At 43.6% G+C, this 21,880-nt stretch overlaps 2 long non-coding RNA genes across 3 annotated transcripts in view, besides 6 other annotated features; one reads left to right on the forward strand and one right to left on the reverse strand.

The window, feature by feature from the left end:
* Positions 1 to 21,880, forward strand: part of FAM86B2-DT (FAM86B2 divergent transcript) — a 129,833-nt gene that overhangs the window by 82,722 nt on the left and 25,231 nt on the right. For both annotated transcript variants that reach the window (NR_040092.1, NR_040091.1), the window contains one exon: positions 11,209 to 11,297. This is a non-coding gene — a long non-coding RNA (FAM86B2 divergent transcript). The remainder of the gene's footprint in view (positions 1 to 11,208; positions 11,298 to 21,880) is intronic.
* Positions 3,198 to 3,697: an enhancer, noted in NCBI's record as "H3K27ac hESC enhancer chr8:12380441-12380940 (GRCh37/hg19 assembly coordinates)". NCBI's record gives its function as "activates a minimal SCP1, AML or CMV promoter by ChIP-STARR-seq in naive H9 embryonic stem cells {active_cell/tissue: H9 hESC(naive)}" and the evidence as "EXISTENCE:reporter gene assay evidence [ECO:0000049][PMID:30033119]".
* Positions 4,840 to 5,377: an enhancer, noted in NCBI's record as "OCT4-NANOG-H3K27ac hESC enhancer chr8:12382083-12382620 (GRCh37/hg19 assembly coordinates)". NCBI's record gives its function as "activates a minimal SCP1, AML or CMV promoter by ChIP-STARR-seq in primed H9 embryonic stem cells {active_cell/tissue: H9 hESC(primed)}" and the evidence as "EXISTENCE:reporter gene assay evidence [ECO:0000049][PMID:30033119]".
* Positions 6,088 to 6,782: an enhancer, noted in NCBI's record as "NANOG-H3K4me1 hESC enhancer chr8:12383331-12384025 (GRCh37/hg19 assembly coordinates)". NCBI's record gives its function as "activates a minimal SCP1, AML or CMV promoter by ChIP-STARR-seq in naive H9 embryonic stem cells {active_cell/tissue: H9 hESC(naive)}" and the evidence as "EXISTENCE:reporter gene assay evidence [ECO:0000049][PMID:30033119]".
* Positions 11,601 to 12,137: an enhancer, noted in NCBI's record as "NANOG hESC enhancer chr8:12388844-12389380 (GRCh37/hg19 assembly coordinates)". NCBI's record gives its function as "activates a minimal SCP1, AML or CMV promoter by ChIP-STARR-seq in primed H9 embryonic stem cells {active_cell/tissue: H9 hESC(primed)}" and the evidence as "EXISTENCE:reporter gene assay evidence [ECO:0000049][PMID:30033119]".
* Positions 17,322 to 17,947: an enhancer, noted in NCBI's record as "OCT4-NANOG-H3K27ac hESC enhancer chr8:12394565-12395190 (GRCh37/hg19 assembly coordinates)". NCBI's record gives its function as "activates a minimal SCP1, AML or CMV promoter by ChIP-STARR-seq in naive H9 embryonic stem cells {active_cell/tissue: H9 hESC(naive)}" and the evidence as "EXISTENCE:reporter gene assay evidence [ECO:0000049][PMID:30033119]".
* LOC729732 (uncharacterized) overlaps positions 17,345 to 21,880 on the reverse strand; it is a 128,533-nt gene continuing 123,997 nt past the window's right edge. The window contains exon 9 of the long non-coding RNA NR_047662.2: positions 17,345 to 19,331. This is a non-coding gene — a long non-coding RNA (uncharacterized LOC729732). The remainder of the gene's footprint in view (positions 19,332 to 21,880) is intronic.
* Positions 19,380 to 20,245: an enhancer, noted in NCBI's record as "H3K27ac-H3K4me1 hESC enhancer chr8:12396623-12397488 (GRCh37/hg19 assembly coordinates)". NCBI's record gives its function as "activates a minimal SCP1, AML or CMV promoter by ChIP-STARR-seq in primed H9 embryonic stem cells {active_cell/tissue: H9 hESC(primed)}" and the evidence as "EXISTENCE:reporter gene assay evidence [ECO:0000049][PMID:30033119]".

Consider the following 21,880-nt stretch of genomic DNA (forward strand, 5'->3'; position numbering starts at 1 on the left):
TCACTCTGCCTTTCAAAACCCCTTCAACTTGTACCCTTCATCAGCAAAGTACTTAGCTCAACATGTATGCCTCTGGGGGTACACATCCACATGCCATTTAAGGATATTTCCAGCATCATCATCTTCACTACCCCAGGATGGCATTTTAGAGTGGATTACGTGCCTGCTGGATGTGTTGTACTTGAACGAGCTAGAGAAAATGCCACACTTTAAGACGAATTAAGAGTCTGTTCATTTAGCTGGCGGCTAAGAAATGGCTAACGTTTAAAGTTCTCTCGGCCTCGAAGAAGGGGCTAGATTTTCTTTTATACTTTCGTTTAGAAAGGGGAGGGGGGTCTAGTTAAAACAATTTTACAGAAGTAGGCAAAAAAGTTAAAAGGATAAATTGTTGCAGGAAAGTAAACAGCTCTAGGTCTAGGGGCTTTAAGACTATTATGAGGTGATAGACGCGGGGCTTTGGGCGTTATCAATTGGACGAATTCCTGGGAACTGCGGATATTGCTCACCACAGTATCTTATCAGTTAATTGCATTCTTCGATGTGCTGGGCGTCAGCTTGCACAAGTTAAGTCCTTGAGGAAGGGGCTGTCAGTGAAAGAGCCAAGATGGAGTCTGTCTGCCTCTCTTAGCTAAGGGAGAGTCAATTCAGGTGGAAACAAGGCTAGGTGATTAAAAGAAAGGGAGAGTCTAAGAACAGGGTTAGTAAAAACAAGGTTGGGCATTACATTCCTCACTTGTATTTTTGGGGAATCAAATCGTTGATTCTTCAGTTATAACGAGGGGGTTATTTTGAGTCTTAAGATACATAAGTTTGACAGAAGGTATACGTTGTTTTACAAAATTAATAAACTAATTTAATATACAAGGTCCAAAAATTAAACTTAATAGTAGGATGGGGAGGGGGTCTGGCTAACTGAGTAATTAGAATAGTTAGCTCTGGGTTCTAGTTGAACATGCTTTGATACTAGGGGATGTTATTTTCTTGTTCTTGTTGGCGCTTATCTAGATTTTCTTGCACTTTCTGGAGTGTATCTTTTATGCCTAAGAATGGTGGAGGAACAGTTGAATCAACTTTCTCAGGGTGTTTCTGGAACATAGGGTTACTTAGATCAGTTAAAGGCCTGATTGGCTTGGGTAGGCTTTATGAGACTAGGTTTTTTTTGGATGGTGAACATAGACTTAACATTAAATCCTGGGATATAAAATCTTAATCTTCATGACATGCCATGATACTGTTGTGTTGAATTAAGGTCATGGACAGTTATAGTAAGAGGATTACAATTTCTTCTAGTATATAATTTAGGATGAGAAGCAGGACTTATGGAAAGAGTTGAAGATCTGGTTGATCTTTTAGAGCAGGTGGCTAAAGTTACACATGTCTAATCAAGACAGGAAAACTGATAAGTATCTTGACAGCTAGCATCAGGGTGATTTCTAGGACAGAGGTAAAAGTAAATATTTTGGAGTCTTTTTTCTGCACTTTTGGAGCTTCTACATTTAGTTTGGCTCTTGGAGTGTCTGAGTCTTGCTGCAAAGTCGACACTTCCTGCTCCTGGAACTGGCAGATTGTGTTGCTTTTCGTGGGTATGGGCTGGCTTTGGGAAGAGTACAAATAAGTCAACTGCAAAGGACACTTCCTTGGAGGTACTGGCCTTCTAAGTGGTGTTTGCAAGTACAAGTCCTGTTGTGAAAGAGGTGAGGAGAAAGGAGTAGGAAGGCACAGAGGATGTAACGGGCAAAAACAAGTGAGTGAGGTAGATAAAAAGAATGAATCTAATGGCTTCACCTGACTTAGGTGCAGTTTTAAGGGGCCTGACTTAGGCTTGGGGACTTATGTTTTTAGTTGGACTCTGTTGGCCTTTTTGATGCGGGAGTGATGAATGTAAGCAGGAATGCCATCTACTTTCAGAGCCATTGGAGTCGTGAAGATGACGTTGTGAGGTCTTTTCTAAGCAGGAGTGAGTCTTTCTTTTTGGAACTTTTTAACAACACTAGGTCTCCTGGCTGGAACGAATGGCAGGACTTTGGTCAGGAATTGGATTGGGATGGGCTCCTGGAACAAGTGGCAGGATAATATCTTGTACCTGTTGGAGAGACTATAGGTACTGTAATAAATTAGTTTGTGATATTTCTGCTAATTTGGCATCTCTTAGCTTAGGCAAGATAGGCGGTGCCTTATTATACATAATTTCAAAAGGTGAGAAATTAGCCTGGTAAGAGGTGCACCTTAATTTAAGTAGGGCTAAAGGAAGGAGACTTACTTAATTTACACTGTTTTTTTAAGATTAATTTTATAAGAGTGTTTTTTAGGGTGTGGTTCATGCGTTCTACTTGCCTGGAGCTCTGGGGTTGATAGACACAATGGAGTTTCTGTTGAATGTTTAACGCCTTACTGACTGACTGAGCTATAGGCGAGGTGAAGGCTGCTCTATTATCAGACTTTATGGCAGCAGGCAGCCTATATTGACGGATGATTTCATTGAGTAAAAACTTAACTACTATGTTGGTGGTTTCGTTTTCGGTAGCAAATGCCTTAGTCTATCTGGAGAAGGTGTCTACTAGTACTAGAAGGTATTTGTACTTAGCCTGGTGTGGTTTGACTTCTGTAAAGTCAATTTCTTACTTTTTTCTTGGCGACTTTTTCCAGAGACAGTGGCCTGGGCTGGGTTTAGGACTTTGTTTGGCATTTACTTGGGCTCAGGTTGTGCACTGGAGAGCTGCTTAATCTTTAGGCTTTGAAGACCGGGGATCTTAAAATGGCTCTGGAGGAGCTGAGGTAGCTTTGCTCTTCTTAAATGGGTGATAGACTGTACGTAACTGGTTAAAGTTTGTTTAAGAGTTCAGGGTATGAAGATTCTAGAGTCAGGAAGAATCTACTAACTTTCCTGATTTTTATTGGCTCTGAGATCCGAAGCCAGTTGTTGTTGTTGTTGAGTATACGGGATTGTCAGGCAGATCTGGCTGTGGAAAGGAGACTGTGGGCAGCAAGTTTAGAGGCGTGACTGAAAGTCTTGCTGCGACCTGAGCTGCTGAATCAGCTTTCTGGTTACTATGGGCCACGGCCGTGTTTTCTTTTTGATGTCCTTTGCGGTGGATCACAGCTACCTGCTGAGGTGAGTAGCCTGCTTTCCTGGTAGATGGCTTTATGTACATGCACAGCAGCAAAGGCGTACTTGCTGTCAGTGTAAATGTTAATAAGTTTATTCTTACTTTATTGGAGAGCCTGAGTGAGGGCGATCAATTCAGCCTTTTGTGCTGAGGTGTTCGCTGGTAAAGCTTGAGCTTACAACAAATGTGTCTCCGTGGTAACAGCTGCACTGGCTCTTCATATTTCCTGCTTGAGGAAGCTGCTACCGTCTGTGAACACGGCGGCATCTGCCTTTTCTAGGGGCACAGCTTGAAGATCAGATAGGCCAGTTTCGATAGTTTCTAACAGTTCTTGACAGTCATGAGCAGGAATAGTGGAGTCTGAGTCAGGAAGTAGTGTAGCTGGATTGAAACACTTTGTGGGAGAGAAAGTCAAACGAGGCTGATCTAACAGTAAACTTTGATACCGCAAGATGCGAGCATTTGACATCTATTTGCCAGAAGCATTTTGTAGTAAGGTCTTTACGGCGTGAGGAGCTGTAAGGGTTAAATTTTGGCTTAGAGTTAACTTATCATCTTCTTGGGCCAGGCTTGCTGTAGCCGCTAAGGCTCGAAGACAACTTGGCCATCTAGAGGCCACAGGATCTAGCCTCTTAGACAAATAGGCCACTGGGCGGCTTTAGGGTCTTAAAGTCTGAGTAAGCACGTCTTTAGCAACTCCTTGGCTTTTATGGAGATATTAGGGAGGGCTAAAGCAGGGGCTTCAGTTAATGCTAAATTAACGGGCTACTTCATTCTGTACTTCTTGGATGGCTGCCACTAAGATTTTTGTTTGTCTTCTGAATGCTTTATCAGCGGCCTTTCCAGTTGCCTGTGTTGCTTTTGTTTTTTAAGCTTTTGATTATCAAAAACTTTTTGGGCTATTTCTAAAAGCTGACTGATATTTATTCTAGAAAATCTTTAGTTTTTGGAGTTTCTTTTTAATATCCTGGGCTGCCTGAGCCACAGATGCTAAATTAAGAGCAAGGCTATTTTCGGGAGCTGCCGGGTCAAAAGGGGTGTAAATCCGATAAGCCTCCTGGAGGCGCTCTAAAACGTTCTTGGTGACTTATCGGGCTTTTGGACAACGTCGGTCGTCTTAGACAAGTTGATGGGTTTCTGAGAGGCTCTTTTAATACTTGCGAGGAGATACCGGTGAAAATCGTCTAAAGCTCCCTTTCTACTTGAGGAATGTGGGTCCTGGTTAGGCTGGGTAGAGGGAAAGACATCCTCAAGGAGGTCTCTAGCTTCTTCTTCCGGTCCGTTGGCTGATGTGAGGAAGTACTTTTTGGCTTCTTTTTGGATACGTTCCTTCTTTTCAGAGGTGAAAAGGGTTAAAAGGAGCTGTTGGCAATCATCTTAGGTGGGCGGGCGGGTCCGGAGTACAGACTCTGTCAGAGAGGTCAAAGCCTGGGGCTTTTCAGAGAAGGGAGGATTATGGGTTTTCTAATTATATAAGTCAGAAGTAGAAAAAGGGACACAAACTAAGAAGGGTGCTGAGCGCTCGTCACCTGGAGGGACTTGTGCCTCTCTCAGTGGTAGTAGAGGGACTACTTCTTCCTGCCACGGTCATGACTGAGAGGCAATGGGTGGCGAGCCTACAGGGGACGTCGTCGAGGAGACATGGGATAACTTTAAGGGAGAAGGTTGGTTGTAAGGCGGTGGGATTGGGTGAGGGGGACTCTCCTCTTCTTCAGAGGGAGGCAGTACAGGGGAAGCTGAACCGACTGAGGGTTGAGGCGAAAACGCGGTCTGGCTTAGGAGGACCTTGGAGGTAGAATTATGAATGGCGCATGAACGGAGCCATGGAGAGTGGATCCTGACTAAACGTAGCTAATGTAGGGAAACTGATCAGGGTGACTAGGAGTTTCAGTAACAACCTGCCACACAGCTTGAACAATTGTGAGGTTCAATGACCCTTCAGGGGGCCACTTGACTTTAAACTTTGGCCATTTTATTTTGCAGAGTGTCTGGAACTTGCCTTTTTTAGGCGGACTTTATAATCCTCTGAACTGAGAGAAAAATTCTGCAGCATACATTGGAGAGGGCTTTAACTTTACAAGGCTGGGAGGAAGTGTTTCTTATTTTTATTTTTTTTGAAGGCAATTTAATAAGATTTGAGCATAGATATTAAACTTAGCATGGACAGAGAAACTTATTTCTTGGGGGACTGGCATAGTGAAAGAACAGAATCAGTATGACCAGAGAGAGCAGAAAAACTTACAACAGCTAATACTACTTGCTACATTGCTGTAGCTTTAAGATTGAGGGAGGAGGACTAGAGCCAGCCTGAGATCTTCTGGGTCAGTTTGATCTAGGCGTTCTTCTTCTTCTTCTAGATCTGCACTTTAAATATTTTTGGTGTCTTTATGACTTAAATGCAAATAGCTTAAACTTAGCTTTTTGTTTTAAGGGTTTAAGGAGTGAGAGCAGAGCCAAGTCCTGGAGATGGTAAACTTGCTGTCGCACCGTAAAACGAGATGTGCGGGATAGGGGGCAGGGACAAGGCAGAAAAGGACTACTCGGATCATTTTTAAGATGGGACAGTAGCCACAGAGGAACAGAGTAAGAATCTAAATGAAGTAAAGCAGTACGGGCGTACATTTCTTTACACAGTGTTCTACTTAAGGGCACAGGAAAAGTTACAGAATGACGAGAGAGGTGAGCAAGGAAATTTGCAGGGTGGCTGTTTTGAACTCACTACTGGTTTAGTTTAGAGGAGGTCTAATCACCTGGACGTGGAGTATGACGATCTAAATACTTACAACTTTCATAGTGCTAGAAATCTTAATCAGGCAAATGTTTTTCACACTTGTTCTTGTAACAACACTTGACTTGCTTCTGGCAGAAAAGACAGGACTGTGGTCGCCAGCCTAAAAGATTGATGAGAAATTTAACCTCCTGTGACAAAAAATCAGCACTAAGGGCTTTGAAGAAGTTTTTACTTAGACGTCTTGGCAATATCAACGTCTTGACATGCAAAACTCTGACAACTACTAACAAGACAATAGACACTGAGCAGAACAATCAATATAAAACAAACAATTGACTTTAGTGCATGTAAACAGTTACGACAGTTTCTTCCTTTTTTTTTTTTTTTTTTTTTTTTTTTAGACAGACAAGGGGAGGGTTTCCTGTGATAGGATCAGTCAGATAACTGCCTGGCCCCTCCCCCTGAGGGGACTTGGGCTCCTCTTAGCATTGGCAGGCCGGTATAAACTTCCGGCTCAGATCAAGCTATGCCTGATGCTGCCTTAAGCCTTATGGGGTCGCCACAGAACCGCAGGTGAGGTGAGGGCCTACTTGAACTCCGTAGCTTTCGCCGTGGAGCTACAAACTGGAGGACAAGCGCGAGCCCTTGTCCTCCCTCACTCATTCATTATTCACACAGAGTATATAACAGTTTTTTTTTTTTCTTTCTTGGAGATTCTTCAAGAAACTTGAACAAGAGAAAGATGAGAGATAGAAACAGAGAGAGAGAGAGTGACCGGTCTGCCGGAAACCAGGACTCAGTCCTCCAGCTTCCTGGGATGTGGACTGAGTCAAGGGAGGGCCCCTGTCAGGGCCACTTCCCTCCTAGAAAGAGACACAGAGGTGCCTAACAGAAAACCAGGGCTCTACCTTCTAGCGTCCTAGAGAAACATGCAGAGTCGAAAGAGGGACACCCTCATCAGGGCCGCTTCCCTCTTCCTAGAACTGAAGTCAAATCTGACCTACGTGACCTCAGGGTCAGAAGTCGAGGACTCAGAGGTGGAATTTTTATGGGCACCCACCGGGTAGTCGATCCGCTCTCCTCTGGAAGACGGTCACTTTTCGAGGACCTGAAGGTTTTTTTTTAGGTGGCACCCCCCACAAGCCGGCCGTCCTTCTGGGGGAGCCCGGCTCTCTCCTCATGGCGTTTCTCGCTGGGGCCTCCAAATGTTGTACTTGAATGAGTTGGAGAAAATGCCACACTTTCACATGAATTAAGAGTCTCCTTATTTAGCTGGTGCCTAAGAAATGGCTAACTCTTAACGTTTTCTTGGCCCCGAAGAAGGGGCTAGATTTTCTTTTATACTTCAGTTTAGAAAGGGGAAACAGGTCTAGTTAAAAGAATTTTACAGAAGTAGGCAAAAAAGTTAAAAGGATAAATTGATACAGGAAAGTAAAGAGTTCTAGGTCTAAGGGCTTTAAGACTATTACAAAGTGATAGACGTGGGGCTTTAGGCATTATCAATTGGACAAATTCCTGGGAACTGTGGATATTGCTCGCCCCACAGTATCTTATCAGTTAATTGCATTCTTAGATCTGCTAAGAGTCAGCTTACACAAGTTAAGTCCTTGAGGAAGGGGCTGCCAGTGAAAAAGCCAAGATAAAAGCTGTCCCCAGTGTTAGAGGTGGGGCCTGGTGGGAAGAGATTGAATCATGGGGGTGGATTTCTCATGAATGATTTTGCATCATCCTTTTGGTCCTGTCCTTGCAATAGTGAGTGAGTTCTTGCAAGATCGGGTTGTTTACGAGTGTGTCGCACCTCCCTCCTTACTCTCTTGCTCCCGCTTCACTTTCTGCCATCATTGTAAGTTTCCTGAGGCCTCCACAGAAGCTCAGCAGATGTCAGTGTCATGCTCCCTGTATAGCCTACAAAACTGCGAGCCAATTAAACCTCTTTTCTTTATATATTACCCAGTCTCAGGTATTTCTTTATACCATGAGAACAGCCAAATCCAGCAGCCGTAGACAATATGTAGCAAATGTGCATGGCTGTGTTTCAATAAAACTTTATTGACAAACACATGTGCAAGCAGGTCAGATTTGGCCCATAGGCCATAGTGTCCCAATCTCTGCTCTGGAATATTCTGTCCAGCCTGGATGGACATCTCTAGGTTGTTTTTTTTTTTTTTTTTTTTTTTTTTTTTTGAGACGAAGTCTCACTGTTGCCCAGGCTGGAGTGCAGTGGTGCAATCTTTGCTCGCCAGAACCTCTGCCTCCTGGGTTCAAGCAATTCTCCTGCCTCAGCCTCCCAAGTAGCTGGGATTACAGGCACCTGCCACCACACCTGGCTAATTTTTGTATTTTTTAATAGAAATAGGGTTTCACCATGTTGGCCAGGCTGGTCTCAAACTCCTGACATCAGGTGATCCACCCACCTCAGCCTCCCAAAATGCTGGGATTACAGGTGCCCGCCACCACACCTGGCTAATTATTGTATTTTTAGTAGAGATGTGGTTTCACTATGTTGCCCTGGCTGGTCTCGAACTCCTGATCTCAAGTGATCCACCTGCCTCGGCCTCCCAAAGTGCTGAGATTACACGTGTGAGCCACTGCAGCTGCCCTCTAGATTTTTTTTTTTGTTGACCATTGCTTATTTGGTTTGACTTTCATTTTCTTCCCCATTGTGGTAGTCATTTTCTGAATGCCTGTTAGTTTGTCCATCTCTCTCCTCTGTAGTCCCTAGAGTCAGATGAACTCCTCTGCAGGTGCAATGGTGTAACACTCTCTAGTGCTGAATTCTGAGCAGGAGAAAGAGAGCAAGAGTGACCAGTACCTTTGGAAACTCTGGCCTCCTGAGAATTTGGTGTCTCCTCTGCAAAGGTTGCATACCTGTTAACCCACAGGCAGGAGAGAGAGACAAGCCAGAATCATGATCTGTTGAGCTTGAGTTTAATATCTGATGCACAGAGATCACTGAGTTTTTTGATAAGAATTAGAGGGGGAAGAAATGGTCACAGAGAACAATTTCTATCTCCAGGTGAGGATTCAGGAGATAATTCTGTGAACAGAACTTCCTGAGAACTGAGATGCGGGAAATAGCTGGTATTAGAAGAGTGAAAATGTCAGTAATTATGGCTACGACTGTGCTCTTAGAGGCAAAAGAAGAAAATGAGACTGCCAGGCATGAATAATGAGAAATCTTTGATGGAATTAGCCATGCAGAACAGATACTAAATGCATCCTCATTCTTCTCATAGTCAAAAGTTTGTGCTTAAGCTGGATGGGAAAAAGAGAATCCCATTTCACTAAGTATAAAAGAGGGGATTTTAGAGAAGGTCTCAGAAGAAAGAGATGTGGGGGTTTGGTGAAACTCACCAGAGGCTGAACCCTCTCCAGCATAACACAGGGATTGGGAGGAGCAGGGCGGCATTAGGCCAGATGTATAGCCCAGTGCTGCTCTCTCTGGACTGGTTTGCTAGCTGAGCTCATCCATTTACATAATTTTCAGTGCCATTTCTCAGCTAATGAGTCCTGAACTTTTGTCTTGAGGCTAGAATTCTCCTTCAAACAGCAGTTTTAACACTCAACTTCTTTCTTGTTTTTTCCACTTGTCAACTCATGAACACCTCAACCTTGTTACATCCAAAGCCAAACTCATGGCTTGGAGTGGTAGGTGATGGCTGTAATCCCAGTGCTATGGGAGGCAGAGGTGGGAGGATTACTTGAGGCCAGGAGTTGGAAGCCAGCCTGGAAAACACAGTGAGACTCCCTATCTACAAAAAAAAAAAAAAAAAAAAAAAAAAAAAAAAAAAGCTAGGCATGGTGATGTGCATCTGTAGGATCTGTAGTCCTGCTACATGGCACGCTGAGGCAGGAGGATCACTTGAGCCCAGGAGTTTGAGGCTGCAAAGAGTTATGATTGCACCAATGCACTCCAGCCTGGGTGACACAGCCAGAGACCCTGTCTTAAAAAAAAAAAAAAACAAAGCCAAACTCTCTTTTTCCTCCTCCTTCTCCATGGGCTCTGTCCATGCCATCTCTGTTCTGTAAATGGCACCACCCCCTGCTGAGCTGCTCAAGGTGGTCATAACTCATGTGTTGTGCTAACTCTGCTTTTGCCCTCTTCTGCAGTCAGCAAGTCCTGTGATTCTAAACTTTATCCAACTTGTCCACTCTCTGTAGCTTCACTGTCATTATCTTTGCCTAGGACACCACTATCTCAGCTGGGCTACAGCAGCCTCCTAACTGGTCTTAACTGGTACTCTGCACCTGCTCTCCATGCTCAGCAATCCATTTCCTACCTGGCAGCTTCAGTGATCTTAAGGCTTCCATTGAGTCTCATCCCTGCCTTTCCTGCCCATGGTACATAGAATAAAATCGAGACCCCGAGTCTTCTGCCTGTTCCTGCCACCTCTCCAGCCCTCTACTATCTCCTGCCCTTGGCCTACTCTATTTCAGCCACTATGGCCTCCTTTTGTTTTCTTGGACTTTCAAACCTTTTTCCACAACACGGCCTTTGCACTTGCTGCTTCAGCCTGGAATGATTTTCCCTGCACCTCCCCAAATTAGACCATCCTTCAGGTGTCAGCTAAAATGGTGCTTCCACAGACAGCTCTTCCCTGACCCCTTTATAAAGTGGACTTGCCTGCTCTTCTCCACCTTAACCTCTTATTGTTTCTTGTTGTGGGAAGTCAGGGACCCCAAATGGAGAGGGACTGGCTGGAGCCATGGCAGAGGAACATAAATGGTGAAGATTTCATGGACATTTATCAGTTCCCAAATAATACTTTTATAATTTCTTATGCCTGTCTTTAATCTCTTAATTCTGTTATATTCATAAGCTAAGGATGTACATCACCTCAGGACCACTGTGATAATTGTGTTAACTGTACAAATTGATTGTAAAACATGTGTGTTTCAACAATATGAAATCAGTGCACCTTGAAAAAGAAGAGAATAACGACAATTTTTAGGGAACAAAGGAAGACAACCATAAGGTCTGCCTGCCTGCAGGGTTGGGCAAAAAGAGCCATATGTTTCTTCTTGCAGAGAGTCTATAAACGGATGTGCAAGTAGGAGAGAGATCGCTAAATTCTTTTCCTAGCAAGGAATATTAATAGTAATACCCTGGGAAAGGAATGCATTTTTTGAAGCCCTTAATAAAAACTTGCTCATCTGAGACTCAGGGGGCATCACGGTCCTACTGATGTGTAATGTCACCCGCAGCAGCCCAGCTGTAAAATTCCTCTTTGTAGTGTCTCTCTTTATTTCTCAGCTGGCTGACACTTATGGAAAACAGAAAGAACCTACATTGAAATATTGGGGGCAGTTTCCACCTATACTTCTTTCATAGATTTACTTATTTTTTGTTTGTCCCCCTCTGTATCCTAGAAACTCCTGGAGGGCAGAGGCATGCCTGCCATCTTCATCATTGCATTACCACCACCCAACACTATCGGGGGACCTGCCCTGATAATCAGGTAGGTTCTTTTCTATTTTCCTAAGCGTCGACTGGCTTGAGAAATAAAAGGACAGAGTACAAAAGAGAGAAATTTTAAAGTTGGGTATCCGGGGGAGACAACACACATTGGTAGGATCCGTGATGCCCCACAAGCCACAAAAACCAGCAAGTTTTCATTAGGGAGTTTCAAAAGGGGAGAGAGTATATGAATAGGAGTGGGTGACAGACATCAAGTACTTAACAGGGTAATAGAATATCACAAGGCAAGTGGAGACAGGGTGAGATCACAGGACCACAGGATGGAAGTGAAATTAAAATTGCTAATAAAGTTTTGGCACCATTGTCATTGATAACATCTTATGAGGAGACAGGGTTTTGAGATCAACCGGTCTGACCAAAGTTTATTAGGCGGGAATTTTCTCTTCCTAATAAGCCTGGGAGTGCTGTGGGAGACTGGAGTTTATTTCACCTCTGCAATCTCGACCATAAGTGACAGGTAAGCCCCGGGGGGCCAGTTCAGAGACCTACCCCTAGGTGCGCATTCTCTTTCTCAGGGACGTTCCATGCTGAGAAAAGGAATTCAGCGATATTTCTCCCATTTGCTTTTGAAAGAAGAGAAATATGGTTCTGTTCTGCCTGGCTCACCAGCGGTCAGAGTTTAAGGTTATCTCTCTAATTCCCTGAACAATTGCTGTTATCCTGTTCTTTTTTCAGGGTGCCCACATTTCATATTGCTCAAACACACATGATGTACAATTTGTGTACTTAACGCAATTATTACAGGTCCTGAGACGATATACATCCTTCTCGACTGACAGGATTAAGAGATTAAAGTAATGACAGGCATAGGAAATCACAAGGGTATTGATTGGGGAAGTGATAAGTGTCCATGAAATCTTCACAATTTATGTTTAGAGATTGCAGTAAAGACAGGCATAAGAAATTACAAAAGTATTAATTTGGGGAACTAATAAATGTCCATAAAATCTTCATAATCCACGTTCTTCTGTCATGGCTTCAGCCGGTCCCTCTGTTTGGGGTCCCGACTTCCCGCAACATCTCTCCCTTTCTTTTTATATAAATGTGCCATGGCGATGAAGGCTTGTTCATTCTCTCGATTTTGACACAGGATTATTTGACTGGTACGGCACACTAAAAGCAAGCCGATGAAGCAGAGAAACATAATTCCAGAATTTACTACAGTGGAGCCCCCAATAGACTTAATCCAAGTTCTGGGGTTTAATCCATAAAGATTTTCTGCCACCTGATCTAACGCCTGAGCTCCAGGCACGATGGATAAGTGAGCTTGGGAGGCTTCAAAAATTTGTTTTTTTTTTTAATTTAGTTGTTTTCAATGATAAATTATATTTTCTACCTAGAAGATGTCCTTTGACCATTTCCCATGAATGATCAGTCTCGTTGTAGGAATAGGGGTGATGCAGAAATCCAAAGTATTCCAATCGCACTGCATTTGCATGCGATGTTCTAGACTCACTACCCGATCTCCAAGCCAAATAACAGACTGTCTTAAATCATTAATTTGATTTGCCAATTTTTGATCGATGCCTTGTTGAGAATTCCACATTTGGGTGGAATTGGCTTGCCAATCATTAACAAAATGAGCCGTTTGAATAGACTGGTGTAATGCCATTCCAGCAGTGGTGGCCATTGCAGTGACTGTAATTAGGCCCATGATAACAGCGATTAAAGTGAAAACAAATATCTTAGGTTCTTTTAGAATTCGTTGTACCAATTCATTAATTAAATGTATTGAGGGGGAGGATTCCCAAGGTCTAGGTAAAGTTATCGGAATCCAGATTCCTTCTCGAGCTCAAACCAACATTACACTTTTCCTGGAGTCAAAGTGGGAGTTAATACAAGTGTATAGATGACAACTGATGCATTGGACAATTTGATTATTCATCCAAATTTTGATATTTCCTACCAATATCATGTAAGGAGGCTTAACACAACTCTGTATGGGAACAGTCAGGTTGGAGGTAAGTAAAGCAGAATATCTGGGTCTACGTTGATACTGAGAGAGTGGGACGGTAGTGGGAACAACAGTCAAAATAGTTTTTCCTTCCCATACTCGCAGTCCAGCCATGGCAATAGCCAATTTCCAAAGTTCTGGGTGTTCTGGGCTCAGAATAGGGAGTATCATAGGATGCCTGGTGGGGGCGGGGGTAATGCCTTTATCTTCCCATTTTAAGGGAAAGAATGAGCTGATCCTTGAATGATGATTCTCTTTCTCCTGATAAGAAATAAAATAAGTAGCCTCCAGGCATTCCCTTCCACAGAGGAGCAATTGTTTTTTAAATAGCCCTATGGTGCCCAGTCTATTACTAAACCATATGAGTCATTTTTTAATATTACTGCATGTGAGTTAACACAATCTTCCCAAATTAAAGTTTTAGATGGTCCCTCAAAATGTTTAGGGCATGGTTTTCCTGCAGGTTTATATTGAAAGTATGGGGTACCTCCCATTACTCCTCCTTTCATTTGTTGTAAAGGAGAAAGGGAGAGGCCAGAGGCCAAATGTCCCATTTTATCTGTAGCTGATGTTTCTGAAAGATAAGCAGCCCAGAACTGAGTTTCTAGATGGATGCAACCAGGTGCATGTCCGAGGCACAGAGGTGGGTATTTATAACCCATGGTAACATTAAATGCAGTGCCTTCTTCTCCTGGTTGTGCGAGGCAAGGGTCGTCTATGGCTCCAGGCATCCACACACTATCGTTAGTGTAGATTTCTGCGGGAGCATCTATCCGGGTGAGAGAGCGAATAAGTGGAGGAAAAGACACCTAAGCCCAAGAAGAATAATTATGTGTAGCAGGTAAATCAGTGTGAGAGGAAACTGGTGAGACAGAAAGTATAAGGAGGAGAATCATTAAATAAAACCTAGTGTAAGCGAGATGGAGTGCTGAAGGAGAAAGAGAAGAAGAGTGGGATGTTATTTTCAGGCTAATAGAAATGGTGAGATATTTAGGTTTGTAAGGAGAAAAAGAAAGGTAATCAGGATAAGTGTGATTAGTTAGATGGGTCTCCACTGTCATCAGGGAGGATTGATTTACACCCATTGTGATTTGGTGTGCCTGTTTCTGAGGAGTCGGCACAGATCTCACCACATCTGAAGGCAGTCTCTGACACAGACGTCTCTTCACTGTGGTTTTGATTGTCAGTATTCACAAGAAGCTTGAGTCTTCTGGTGGGCACCCAGACAGGGGATTGATGATCTCCTGGTGAAACACAAGCATATCCTCTTCCCCACGTTAAGTAGAATAAGAGACAATATTTAAAGGTTTGGGGAAATCCTGTAAGACAGTAATCACAGCAATTAACTCCGCATTTTGAAGAGAAGTATAAGAGGTAGAAAGAAGTTTGTCTGCAGGACCTGTATAGCCAGCATTGCCATTACCAGAGCCATCAGTGAATACTGTAACGGCCTCAGGAATGGGTTGATTTTTGGTTAATCGAGGAACCACCCAAGACGTTATTTTTATAAAATCAAACAATTTGTTTTTTTGGATAATGATCGTCAATAACACCAATAAAATCAGCCAAGTGAATTTGCCACAGTACAGAATGTTGAAAGGCAGCTTGAACTTCGAGCTGATTTAAAGGAACTACAATTACACTTGGATCAAATCCAGAAAATTGAAGTATTCTGCACCGAACCTGTCCAATTAATATGGCTATTTGGTCTAGATAAAGTTTTTGACACAGAATGAGGAAGAAAACACCATTCCACTAAATCATTATGTTGAACTATTAGTCCAGTAGGAGAGTGTAATGAAGCAAAAACCAGAAGCTGAAAAGGCTGAAATGTCTGTACTCTAGATAACTGGGCAGTCTGGATTTTTTCCTCTACAAATTCCAGATCCAGTAAAGCCTCAGGGGTCAAAGTCCTAGGGCTGCGGAGATCAGAATCTCCCCGCAGCATAGAGAACAAGTTAGACAGGGTATAGGTCGGAATGCCTAAAGTAGGTCTTAAATAATTAATGTTACCCAAAAGTTTTTGGAAGTCATTTAAAGTTTTAAAGAATCTCTCCTAATTTGAACTTTTTGAGGTTGAATACATTGTTTATCGACCACCATTCCTAAATATTGAACAGGAGTGGTCTGTTGAATTTTATCCTGAGCAATGCGTAATCCAGCCTCTGTAACACAGCGGTTCAAAATTTGGTAACAGTCAATTAATTTTTTATCAGTGGGGGCAGAAATTAAAATATCATCAATATAATGAAGAATATAGGCCTCGGGAAATCGGGCTCAAACTGGTGAAAGCACTTGTCCAACATAAAGCTGGCAGATTGTAGGGCTATTTAGCATTCCCTGAGGAAGTACTTTCCATTGATAACGAGCTACAGGCTCCTGATTATTGATAGATGGTACAGTAAAAGCAAATTTTTCACAATCCGATTTATGTAAAGCGATATGAAAAAAAAAACTCTTTAAGATCAATAACTATGAGAGGCCAATCTTTAGGTATTAAAGCAGGGGCAGGCATGCCGGGTTGGACGGCCCCCATAGGTTTAATTACAGCATTAATGGCCCTTAAATCGGTTACTATCCGCCATTTGCCTGATTTCTTTTTTACTAGAAACAGGAGAATTCCAAGGGGAAAGAGAAGGTTCCACATTTCCAAGTTGTAACTGCTCAGAAACCAATTGATTTAAAGCCTCCAGTTTTTCTTTAGAAAGCGGCCCCTGCTGAATCCCAGGGCCACTTGTCTTATCTCCTTTGTTTAAAAGGATATTAGGTAGTAAAAGCAATTGAGCTTGTTGAAGAGTAGTAAAAGAAACAGGAGCTTGGGCTGGGGAGTGTAGTTTATCCCAAGCTCTCATACACACTTTTGTTACTTGTTCTGTGGTAAGAGTATCAAAGTTTAATTGGGCATAAGCATCAGAGAAACTATCGGAGCCTGTGAGCTGAGCCTGAGTAATTAGAATGCCATTACTCCGATTTAGCTGAGCCTGTAAACAGGCCTCCTCCTACCACCAGGCTGAGATGGACTTAGAACAGCTTTTTGCCAAAAGATCACAGTCTAAAGGAAGCAAAACGACCTCAGTATAAAAAGTTTGCAATACCATTTGAACATAAGGAAAAGTAGGACCATACTGAGTACAAGCATCCTTAAATTGTTTTTAAAAAGGTAAGATTGAGCGGCGCCTATCGATGCAGACTGGCTGAGGAACTGAAACGACAGGAGGGTGAGGGGCTGTAGTGGATGGGGGAGGGCCTGGAGAATGACAGGTAAATTGTAGTTTGGTCCCAGAGCCATTATTTGATGCTGGAGGTTTGAAGAGAGAAGAATTAGCATATTTATGGTACCGGGCTTTTTGAGTCACAGCCGCAGGAGTTTGAAGTACCGGCTTTTCGTGGGAAGAAGTAAGAAAAGTAGGGGGTAACTTTAAGCCAAAGTTACCAGAGTTAGAAATCGAATTTTCAGAATCGTTAGGGAGGGGAGGAGTAGCTGAAGGGAGAGTCTGAACGAAGGCCATGTGGGAGAGGAAGGTTGAGAAAAAGGCAGAGAAACTGAGGAAAAGGCAGAAAACTGCGGCAACTGCAGGGGGTCAGGAGATTGGCAAGCCACGAAGATGTCACGCACCAAGCACCCCAAACAGTGATGGGCACATAATACCCGGCCGAGATCAGTTTTCGGAATGCCTTACGGACACAATCACACAATTTTATATACACCGTTCCTTTTTCAGGAAACCAAGAACAGTATTTTTCTACTGCCCTGAATAGAGTGATCATATTTTTCATGGTTACCGGTTTTAACAGGAGTTTGTTAGATTACACATGACCCACAGTTAACCCAGACCTTACACAGATTACTCACCACTCATCGGGGAGTTGAACACGCTTATCTGTGGACCAAGCCGATTGACGTTTCACCGCACCTACCAAACGGAATCCGGTTCCCTCATGCACTTAGGAAAAAAGAAAGACCACGTGGGCGCCAGATATCGGGGGACCTCCCCCGATAATCACGTAGGTTCTTTTCTATTTTCCTAAGCGTCGACTGGCTTGAGAAATAAAAGGACAGAGTACAAAAGAGAGAAATTGTAAAGCTGGGCATCTGGGGGAGACATCACACATTGGTAGGATCCGTGATGTCCCACAAGCCACAAAAACCAGCAAGTTTTTATTAGGGAGTTTCAAAAGGGGAGGGAGTATATGAATAGGTGTGGGTGACAGACATCAAGTACTTAACAGGGTAATAGAATATCACAAGGCAAGTGGAGACAGGGCCAGACCACAGGACGGAAGTGAAATTAAAATTGCTAATGAAGTTTTGGCACCATTGTCATTGATAACATCTTATGAGGAGACAGGGTTTTGAGATCAACCCGTCTGACCAAAGTTTATTAGGCGGGAATTTTCTCTTCCTAATAAGCCTGGGAGTGCTATGGGAGACTGGAGTTTATTTCACCTCTGCAATCTCGACCATAAGAGACAGGTACGCCCCGGGGGGCCAGTTCAGAGACCTACCCCTAGGTGCGCATTCTCTTTCTCAGGGACGTTCCATGCTGAGAAAAGGAATTCAGCGATATTTCTCCCATTTGCTTTTGAAAGAAGAGAAATATGGTTCTGTTCTGCCTGGCTCACCAGCGGTCAGAGTTTAAGGTTATCTCTCTAATTCCCTGAACAATTGCTGTTATCCTGTTCTTTTTTCAGGGTGCCCACATTTCATATTGCTCAAACACACATGATGTACAATTTATGTACTTAACGCAATTATTACAGGTCCTGAGACGATATACATCCTTCTCGACTGACAGGATTAAGAGATTAAAGTAATGATAGGCATAGGAAATCACAAGGGTATTGATTGGGGAAGTGATAAGTGTCCATGAAATCTTCACAATTTATGTTTAGAGATTGCAGTAAAGACAGGCATAAGAAATTAAAAAAGTATTAATTTGGGGAACTAATAAATGTCCATAAAATCTTCATAATCCACGTTCTTCTGTCATGGCTTCAGCTGGTCCCTCCATTTGGGGTCCCTGACTTCCCGCAACACAGCACAGTGCCTGGCACAAAAGAGTTGCTCAATAAATAAATCAGGATGAATAGATAAATACACGGATAGGCACTTTGAGCTACAGATGAGCTTAAATACTTTGTTTTTCTTAGTCAAACATGTGCAATGAAGCATGTGATAAATGTTATGATGAGCATACCTGTGTCTTGCCTGATGTTCTTTGCAATCACTAAATGAAGTCAATTGTGCCTGTTTTGACAGTTCTATTTTCAACCTAATGATCTGTTTATTTTAACTTCTGGCTGTTGGCTTTGTTTGGGTTTTTTAGCCTGACAAAGTGGTAGATATTGGTATTTGCTCTTTTGTTTAAATGTCACGAACTTTAAAAATGCCTTTGCTTTTGGTAAGAAACCCTAGTTAGGACACCCTAGCGGTCAGGATGATTTGGGTTCTGGTGCAGTAACAACAAACCCCAAATCTCAGTGGCCTCATGCAGTGAGGTATTTGTTTGTTTGTTTTTGAGACAGGGTCTCACTCTGTCACCCAGACTAGAGTGCAGTGGTGCAATCTCAGCTCACTGCAACCTCTGCCTCCCAGACTCAAGTGATTCTCCTGCCTCCTGAGTAGCTGGGATTACAGGCCCATGCCACCACTGTCTGGCTAATCTTTGTACTTAGTAGAGACAGGATTTCACCCTGTTAGCCAGGTTGGTCTTGAACTCCTGACCTCAAATGATCCACCCACCTTGGCCTCCCAAAGTGCTGGGATGACAGGCATGAGCCACCATGCCTGGCCACAGTGAGGCTTATTCTTGGTCACGTTGCATGTCTGGGCTGTGTTAGGGCATTCTGGGGTGGTCTGTTCATTGTGTTCACTCAGGGATCCAGGCTGACAAAAGCCCCATCTCTGCATGTGTCCTTGATCTCCACTTCAGGGCAAAGGGAATGTGGTGGATCATAGAGCAACCTCTTAACACTTCCACCTGGAGGTGACTCAAGTTGCTGCTGCTCATGGTTCATTGGACAAAACGGATCACAGAGTCATGGGCAACTTCTCTGTGCCTGGAAGGGGAAACAAAATATGAATAGCCACATTGATTTTCCCTAGATATTACACAGAAGGCCTCATTTAAACACAGTTACTTATTTGTGTTTTGAAGCTAATTGTAGTCCATCAAACTTCACAGAAGATATGTGCACTTCCAAGCTATTATTAAGCACAATTCTTTTTTTTTTTTTTTTTTTTTTGAGACAGAGTCTCACTCTCTTGTCCAGGCTGGAGTGCAGTGGCATGATCATGGATCGCTGCAACTTCTGCCTCCTGAGTTCAAGTGATTTTCATGCGTCAGCCTCCCAAAATGCTGGGATTACAGACACCCACCACCACGCCTGGCTAAGTTTTGTATTTTTAGTAGAGATGGGGTTTCACCATGTTGGCCTGGCTGGTCTGGAACTCCTGACCTCAGGTGATCCACCTGCCTCGGCCTCCCAAAGTGCTGAGATGACAGGCGTGAGCCGCCGCACCCGGCCTTGAGTACGATTTTTGATTTGGAAGGTCAGAGTTAGGGTTTTAGTCTGAGGACTGTATGATGTGAAGGTGAAAAGCAGAGCTTGGCTGTGAGTTTGCTGGGATTCCTGTGCTGCTTCTACAGCTCTTTGGCTGTGTGACCATCACTTTTGGCAAGTTCCTTTACCTTTCTATGTGTTGGTTTCCTCATCAATAAAATGGAAAAACTAATCATAATCATAATAGCTATTGGTGTTGGGATAGCCCAGTGGTTGACACATAAGGACTCAAACATACATTTTTTTTTTTTTTTTTTGAGACGGAGTCTTGCTCTGTTGCCAGGCTGTAGTGCAGTGGTGCAATCTCGGCTCACTGCAACCTCTGCCTCCTGGGTTCAAGCGATTCTCCTGCCTCAGCCTCCCGAGTAGCTGGGATTACAGGCGCCTGCTACCACTCCCAGTTAATTTTTGTATTTTTAGTAGAGACGGGGTTTCACTATGTTGTCCAGGATGCTCTCGATCTCTTGACCTCATGATCCGCCCACCTCAGCCTCCCAAAGTGCTGGGATTACAGGTATGAACCACCGTGCCCAGCTCAAAAATACTATTATTAATTTTGGGGGGCAGTTATTATATTTTGTGAAAATCAGAGTTCAGTACCTTGTAACACTGAGTTGGGATCTATCCCTGAAGGAACAGGCTTCTAAAGAGGAAGGCATCGAGAGAGGGGCAAAATTTTAGTGGACGCTGTAATGACTTTAGGTATATGGACCTGGGGCAGAGTTCTAGCTGGGACCACCAGGTAGCAAGGTGGACTTTGCTAAATTCTATCACTTTCCTGGGCCTCAGACTCACTTGTTACAAATGGGATTAAAGCATCCCTCTTTCAGGGCTAAGATAAAGATGATTAAGTAAGAGGGAATGAAAGCAACTTCCATCAATGGTCAAAAGTATTCATTTAACTTTTTTTTTTTTTTTTTTTTGAGATGGAGTCTCTCTCTGTTGCCCAGGTTGGAGTGCAGTGGCATGGTCCCGGGTCACTGCAACCTCCACCTCCTGGGTTCAAGTGATTCCCTTGCCTCAGCCTCCTGAATAGCTGGGACTACAGGTGCATGCCACCAAGCCTGGCTAATTTTTGTATTTTTAGTAGAGACGGGGTTTTACCATGTTGGCCAGGATGGTCTCGACCTCCTGACCTTGTGATCCACCCACCTTAGCCTCCCAAAGTGTTGGGATTGCAGGCATGAGCCACCATGCCTGGCCCATTTAACTTCTATATTATTTTCCTGTTGGTGGATTTACCAGTGCAAACTGAGCAGCTTAAAACACCATCCAGTTATTATCTGTTTCCATGAGCCAAGGCTCTGGGCAGGGTTTAACTGGATCTTCTATTCCGGGTCACAATACTGCAACCAGAGTGTCAGCTGGGGTCTCATCAGATGCTCAGTGTCCTCTTCCAAGCTTATTCAGTTTGTGGACTGAATTCAATTTCTTGCAATTGTAGAACGAAGGCCCTCAGCTCCTAGAGCTGCCACCTCCAAAGACAGTTCACAGCATGGCCATTTTTGTCTCCTTGGAGGCTAAGGGTTGAATCTCTGAAACTTCACCTTTAAAAGACTCACCTGATTAGGTCTGGCACACCTAAGATCATCCTGCTTTGGATGAACTCAAAGTCAGCTGAGCAAATGTGCTTAACAAAGCAAGTGTGACCATAATCACATTTGCAAAATTCCTTCCCCTTGGCCAAATCACAAGCTCTGCACACACTCAAGAAGAGATGATACAGGGAGCAGATATAAGGGAGTGGTTCTCTTGGGGGCTGTCCTAGAACTCTGCCCATTACAACTTCCTTCCTCGAGGAACAGCAGGCCTGGGGAGAGATGATCACGGATGAGAGCAGCCCACAGGTTGTGAGCGCCAGGTGCTGGAGTAGGATGCAGGAGGCTGACAAGCAAGTATGAAAAGCCTTCACTGGGCTGGGTGGAGTGGCTCACACCTGTAATCCCAACACTATGGGAGGTCGAGGTGGGCGGATCACGAGGTCAAGAGATCGAGACTATCCTGGCCAACCAACATGGGGAAACCCCGTCTCTACTAAAAACACA

This window comes from Homo sapiens, chromosome 8, assembly GCF_000001405.40.
Source record: "Homo sapiens chromosome 8, GRCh38.p14 Primary Assembly".
Classification (NCBI taxonomy): Eukaryota; Metazoa; Chordata; class Mammalia; order Primates; family Hominidae; genus Homo; species Homo sapiens.